The 7,716-nt window shown below is 42.6% G+C and overlaps 1 annotated feature.

Moving 5' to 3' along the window:
• Positions 634-683: an enhancer, noted in NCBI's record as "active region_24779". NCBI's record gives its function as "activates an Ori minimal core promoter by ATAC-STARR-seq in GM12878 lymphoblastoid cells {active_cell/tissue: GM12878}" and the evidence as "EXISTENCE:reporter gene assay evidence [ECO:0000049][PMID:35858748]".

Raw genomic sequence — 7,716 nt, 5'->3', positions numbered from 1 at the left:
AATGCAAGCATTGTAGCCTATAAAATGAATAGCCTCTATACTATCCAGAAGGAGGATGGGGGTGGGGTGGGAATAGCTGTTATGCAGGCAGTCAATGGTTGCCTCTAGTCTCTAGTCCTCCAAAGCCCAAATCCAGTAACATTGACTCCATGGAGTCTTCTCTGACTCATCCAAATAAAAATAATCTTTCCTTTGGGTTTTCACAACCCTATGTACCTTTCTATTCACATTTTGCTTTGTATTATAGTTACCTGTGTATTTGCCCCATTTATATTATAAGAATGTACCAATTCTATTCTTATTCATCTTTTGTTCCCCATATGCCCCTATGGCCTTGACCCTTAGAAAGTCTTGAATAAGTATTCTTGAAACCTCACTAATGTGAATCACAGTGAGATAGTTCATTTCAGCTACAGAAGGAAAAACAAAAACAAAACCCCACATAGCCCAAAAGGAAATGTAGGGCTTTCACCACAGTTGCAATTAATAGATACTCTGTTTTTCAATATGCAAACTACATGGTTAAGAGTCAGAAAAAATATATGTAGAGAAGCTGAGTTTATCCTCTCTCCTGACACACACACACACGCACAGACATAAAAGGCATCCTGTAAAGACTAGTCCACTTGTTACTGGAGGACAAAGTGGAGCCTCCCAAGGGCTTATCCTCACAGGATTCTAGACTCAAGCCAATTCATACCAAAAGGATTAGGGCTAACTACTAGGCATAGAGGAGCAATAAGGCTAGAAATCTCCCGAGAAATTTGTGGAACAAAGTTGCCATATCGCTTCTTGATTCAAACCTCCTCTCTTAACATGAAAGAAAAAAACATGTACCTCAACTTCTGCCACTCACGGTTGTACTTAATCCAAATTCATGCATTCAGTCTCCCGTGGAGACTACGGCACTGCCAGAATCTCCAGAAGCCATTGCCAGTAAGAAAGTCCACTTGAGTCAAGCCTCAATCTGGCTTGGAACGCTGCTCAACTCATGGATTGGCCAAAACTAGTCCCATCCAGTCAAGTACCATCGGCTTTCTGCACTCGGTTCTGTTAGCAAAATGCTGGCTGCAAATTGAGTTTCTCAAGCAAAACAAGGACAGTAACAAATTGTCAAATATCCTAAACATCAACATTGCTGGTTGTGTTTAGTTAAATGCCATTTTTTTCCTAACACGAAGTCAAAGAATTGAGTCAGGTTTTCTCAATGCCAAAGCAATTACCTCCAATCAAGGGGTAGATGACACACAGAGAAAAATCCAGCTCAGTGGTTCTTTGTTTTTGATTTGTATTGTTACATCTCTTACCAAAGACTAACACTATGGCAACCCGCACATGCAAAACAGTCAAGTGTAGGAAAAGTCAATCTAAAAATACAGTTTCTATATTATTCTAAAATTAATTGAAAAAAGTTGTTTCTTTGGACTGAATGGTAATTTTGGTTTTATGACCAATAAAGCCACTTAAAATAAGAAGCAGCTGATTTGTATGTGAAGCTGCAGGTTATTTGAAAAATACCTCGATTGCAGTGTACATCAGGTCAGTTTACATAAGCAGCAGAGGAGCCCTTAAAGCTGGGCCTTGGTGAGGACATAGGGATTAGCACTCTGGCAGACACATGAGAAGGGCAGGAATGCTTGTTCTCAGCTTTTCTACCGAGAGGACAACTGTCCAACCAAGATTAAGCTGAAAAGACATGACAAAGTTTTCTTAACTTTAAAAGGAGAACTTCATAACCATTTGATTCATATGATAAATGCAGACCTCAGATCTGATAATTAAGGTCAACACATTCAAAACAAGGCTTGAAATGTCTTACTTATCTACAATGGTGTTACACCAATATTCAAAACTAAGTTTCAGTTTCTGGAAAGCATTTTTGCAAAAATGGATGCAGCCAATAGCATAAAAACGGATCATTTAATGTCACAAAGAAAATCTATGAGCACATCTGGATAGTCAAAGTAAAATAGTGTTACTATTCTTTTAAGGGAAGTGCTTCATTTTTGAGCTATTTTTTTTTCCATTTTAGACTTGTAAATGGCATTCCTATGGTCCTCTTTTCCATATACAATATCTTAACCAGGATTTTCTATTATTTTATTATCATTCTTCACATATGTTAAATGCCATCAAAATGTAGTGATTGTTTATAGTTTAACATCAAAAAATAAAAAAATAAAAACTTTGAATTATTTGGGTCACTTAGCCCATAATCCCATATACCATACATGCAGAAGAGAAACAAGTTATGTATATATACTACCCCTCCCTTTTATTCTCTCACCCCACATCTGGGCAAACTAATAAATCCACAGTTATTCCCATTCCCTACTTCTTACTCCTTCACAACCCCCTCCTACCTTGGCATGAATGGCGGGTAGAGGAGAAGCAGGAGGGAATTCAAACCAAGCAAACCTAGGAACCCTTATCCTGGCCTGACTGTCTACCCACAATAAAAATCAGAGCCACTCTCCTCTCTTTGCTTAAGCCCTTCTATACTAGCTTGGATGTCTGCCCTGCTCTCTCCAAAAAGTCCCATTATACGGGTAATAAATCCTTTCATACCCTCTTGGTGTGTGTGTGTGTATCATTCTCAAACTTAAAATTCAAACCACTTTGGTGGGAGTCATGAGTAGATGATGATCCTGCCATCCACAGGGCAACCAAAAAGCAACTGGTAGACTCAACTGCATTGTCTAGTTGAGGACCACCACCACCTAGGAGTCTTTCTTTTCTTGCTCTTAGCTTGCTCACTATCTTTGATGACAATTATTCATGTCTCTCCTTTACCACTGATACTATTGCCTTAACTAAATTTCCCATAGTTACAGTGCCCATTGACCTAAAATATCCCATAGTGCACATGAATTCTTTGACCTCACAAGTAATAAATCGAAATAAAATTAATTTTTTTTTTTTGAGATGGAGTCTCACTCTGTCACCCAGGCTGGAGTGTGGTGGCGCAATCTCGGCTGACTGCAAGCTCCGCCTCCCGGGTTCACGCCATTCTCCTGCCTCAGCCTCCCAAGAAGCTGGGACTACAGGCACCCGCCACCAGGCCCAGCTAATTTTTTGTATTTTTAGTGGTGATGGGGTTTCACCGTGTTAGCCAAGATGGTCTCGATCTCCTGAACTCGTGATCTGCCCACCTCGGTCTCCCAAATAAAATTAAGTTTTTGGCACTTAAAATTGGCTTACCAAAATGGGACTCCATGGACCTTTCCTCACAGCTAAATTAGTTAGTATAGTCCAACATAGATTAAACCAAGACCATGGACCTTCTCTCACAGCTAAAATAGTTAAAAAGTCCAATATAGATTAAACCAAGACCTACAGGAATTAAAACCCACCATCTAAGACTTCCAAAAGGAAGGCGCCATCATTCCTGCTATTTTCCCTTTTAATTGCCCAGTTTGGCCAACGCTCAAACTTGATAACAATGAATGGCATCTAACAGCAGATTATCACAACCTTAATGGCACGGTGCCTCAATTAAGGCTCTCATACCTGATATTATTGAAATTATTGACTCTATCCAATCAGTAACTGAAAAATGCTTTCCTATTATACATGTGGCAAATATGTTCTATTAAGTTTCTATTTCAACAGCCTCTCAGTTCCAATTTGCCTTCACCTTCAAAGGGACACAATACAACTTTACCTGACTGTCCATGAGGTATCTCAATAACCCTGCCCTCCTACACAATCTCTGCTGCCATGATCTTCATCACATCCACCTTCTTCCAGGAACACAGATATGATATTACGTTGATGGCATCCTCCTCTTCAAAGATTCATTTGACATACTCATTCAAAAAATACAAATACTCACAAAAAGAAATGGGCATTGCCCAACAAAAAGTACAAGGCCCTGCCATATCAGTTAAATTACTGGGAATTATTTTGTCAGTCAAGGACTACTCCAGCTCTGATACTATCAGAAAACAATTAGTGGCCCTCTCTTAACACCTGCAATGTTAAGATAAGCAAACAATCTTTTAGGACTTTTTAGGCTTCTGAAGGCAAATATTCCTTACTTACAAATTTTACTTAAGTTCACTTATGCTGCTACTTGCAAACTGGCCCATGATATAGTTTGGCTCTGTCCTCACCCAAATCTCATCTTGAATTGTAGTTCCCATAATTCCCACGTGTTGTGGGAGGGACCTGGTGGGAGATCATCGAATCATGGGGGTGGTGACCCCCATGCAGCTGTTCTCATGATAGTAAGTGAGTTCTCATGAGATCTGATGGTTTTATAAGGGGTTTTTCTCTCTTTTGTTCGGCACGTCTCCTTGCTGCCGCCACGTTTAGAGGATGTTTTTGCTTCTCCTTCTGCCATGATTATAAGTTTCCTGAGGCCTTCCCAGCCATGCTGAACTGTGAGTCAATTAAACCTCTTTCCTTTGTAAATTACCCAGTCTTGGGTATGTCTTTATTAGCAGTGTGAGAACAGACTAATACAGTAAATTTGTACCAGGTAGTGCAGTGCTACTGTAAAGATACCCACAAATGTGGAAGTGACTTTGGAACTGGGTAACAGGCAGAGGTTGGAACAATTTGGAGGGCTCAGAAGAAGACAGGAAAATGTGTCTCTTTCCAGAGACTTAGAGGGCTCAGAAGACAGGGACATCTGAGAAAGTCTGGAACCTCCTAGAGACTTGTTGAATGGCTTTGACCAAAATGCTGATAGTGATATGAACAATAAAGTCCAGGCTGAGGTGGTCTCAGATGGAGATGAGGAACTTGTTGGGAATTGGAGTAAAGGCCACTCTTGCTATGAAAGGCCACTCTTGCTATGCAAAGAGACGGGTGGCATTTTTTCCCCTGCCCTACAGATCTGTGGAACTTTGAACTTGAGAGAGATGATTTAGGGTATCTGGTAGAAGAAATTTCTAAGCAGCAAAGCATTCAAGAGGAAGCAGAGCATAAAAGTTAGAAGAATTTGCAGTTTGACAATGAAATTGAAAAGAAAAACCCATTTTCTGGGAAGAAATTCAAGTCTGCTGCAGAAACTTGCATAAGTAATGAGGAGACAAATGCTATTCACCAAGACAAAGGGGAAAATGTCTCCAGGGGATGTCAGAGACCTTCCCAGCAGCCCCTCCCATCACAGGCCCAGAGGCAGAGGAGGGAAAAATGGTTTCCTGGGCCAGGTCCAAGGCCCCCCTGCTGTGTGCAGCCTCAGACTTGGTGCCCTGTGTCCCAGCTGCTCCAGCTGTGGCTAAAAGTGGCCAAGGTACAGTTCAGGTTGTGGCTTTGGAGGTTGCAAGCCCTAAGCCTTGGCAGCTTCCATGTGGTGTTGGTCCTGAGGGTGCATAGAATTGAGGTTTGGGAACCTCCACCTAGATTTCAGAGGATGTAGGGAAATGCCTGGATATCTAGGCAGAGGTGTGCTGCAGGGGTGGAGCCCTTATGGAGAACCTCTGCTAGGGCAGTGCAGAAAGGAAATGTGGGGTTGGAGCCTCCACACAGATTCACCACTGGGCACTGCCTAGTGAAGCTGTGAGAAGAGGGCCACCATCCTTGAAACCCTGGAATGGTAGATCCACCAACAGCTTGCATCATGTGCCTGGAAAAGCCACAGATACTCAACACCAGCCAAAAAAGCAGCAAGGGAGGGTGCTATACCCTGAAAAGCCACAGGGGTGGAGCTGCCCGGGACCGTGGGAGCCCACCTCTTGCATCAGCATGACCTGGATGTGAGACATGGAGTCAAAGGAGATCATTTTAGAACTCTAAGGTTTAATGACTGCCCTACTGGATTTTGGACTTGCATGGGGCCTGTAGCCCCTTCGTTTTGGCCAATTTCTCCCATTTGGAATTACCCAATGCGTGTACCCCAATTGTATCTGGCTTGCTTTTGATTTCATAGGCTCATAGGCAGAAGGGACTTGCCTTATCTCAGATGAGACTTTGGACTTGGACTTTTGGGTTGATGTTGGAATGAGTTAAGACTCTGGGGACTGTTGGGAAGGCATGGTTGTGTTTTGAAATGTAAGGACATGAGATTTGGGAGTGGCTGAGGCAGAATGATATGGTTTGGCTGTGTCCCCACTCAGATCTCATCTTGAATTGTAGTTCCCATAATTCCCACATGTTGTGGGAGGGACGTGTTCTTGTGATAGTGAGTGAGGTCTCATGAGATCTGATGGTTGGTTGGTTGGTTGGTTTTTGAGACAGAGTCTCACTCTGTTGCCCAGGCTAGAGTGCAGTGGCACAATATCAGCCCACTGCAATATCCACCTCCCGGGTTCAAGCAATTCTTCTGCTTCAGCCTCCTAAGTAGCTTGGACTACAGGCATGTGCCACCACACCTGGCTAATTTTTGTATTTTTAGTAGAGATGGGGTTTCACCATACTGGCCAGGCTGGAATCTGATGGTTTTATAAGAGGCTTTTCCCCCTTTAACTCAGCTCTTCTCCTGGTTGCTGCCATGTGAAGAAGGACGTTTTTGCATCCCCTTTCGCCATGATTCTAAGTTTCCTGAGGCCTCCCCAGTCATGCTGAACTGTGAGTCAATTAAACCTCTTTCCTTTATAAATTACCCAGTCTCGGGTACGTCTTTATTAGCAATATGAGAATGGGCTAATATAGCCCACCTTGAATGAGGTCTCCTTTAACTAAATGCTCTAGAATCTGTTCAAATTACACACAATAAGCACTCTCCTTAATATACCCCAGAGATTCCCTCACTGTAGAGGTTTTAGCAACCTCCTCTCATGCCTCCTGGGGTCTCTGGATCACCTGTAAGTTGCCCACAGGCTTTTGATACAGGAAGCTGCCCTCCTCAGTCCCATGCCACACACCATTTGAACATCAACTGCTGGTTGCACATTGGGCCTTTCTGGAGACAAATACCCTCATGGCCCCTAAGCCTGTGATCCTATGTACCCAGCTGCCTCTTATGCCTTGGATCATTGACACAGCACTCTGCACAATCAGCACAGTTAGTTATAGAGGCCTCTGGACAAAAATGGAAATAGTACTTATAGACCAGAAGCAAACTTAGGCCTCCTGGCATATCCAACCTACAGGAGGAAGTGGTTTCTCCTGTCCTCAGCCCCTTGCCAAAGGTAATGGTGCTGTAGGCCACCCTTCTTCCAGGCCCACTGGCCACCTGGAGAGTCTCTTGGGATCAACTGAGTAATCAGAAAAGGGATTTCATATGCAAGGTCACCATAAAATGTAATGATGCCCTCTAGTGAGCTGCTGCTATTCATTCCCTAACCAGGACATCCCTGATCAAGGATGGGACTCAAGAGCCAGCACAACCAACCAAACTTCATGCAGTCATCTTAGCACTACATGATGTTTAACCAACAACTGGTCCAGTATGTCTATTTGTATACATTATTGGGGCATTACTAATTATCTAGTCAGTTAGTCTGATCTGTAGCAATAATAGCAATTCCTTATCCAAGGTCACCCCACTTTGGGCTAAAAACAAAATCTCTGGGAATTTTTTGCCTTACAGATAGCCAAAATATAAACAAATGTCACACATCAGCCCACACTAAAACTAAACGAAAAGGCCTCACCAAGACACTTCTTATCCCCTTCAGAGTTCCAGAAATTATTGATGATGACCAAGGCCTGCATTTCACTTCTTAAAATACACACCATGGACTTTTGAAGAAGACATGCAATGGAACTCTCACCTCTCTTACTGACCTCATGCTGCAAGTCTCATAGAGTACAATAATGGTTTAT

This window comes from Homo sapiens, chromosome 6, assembly GCF_000001405.40.
Source record: "Homo sapiens chromosome 6, GRCh38.p14 Primary Assembly".
Lineage (NCBI taxonomy): Eukaryota > Metazoa > Chordata > Mammalia > Primates > Hominidae > Homo > Homo sapiens.
Note: the sequence above shows the minus strand (reverse complement) of the source record. Positions and strands in the feature narration are given on the sequence as shown.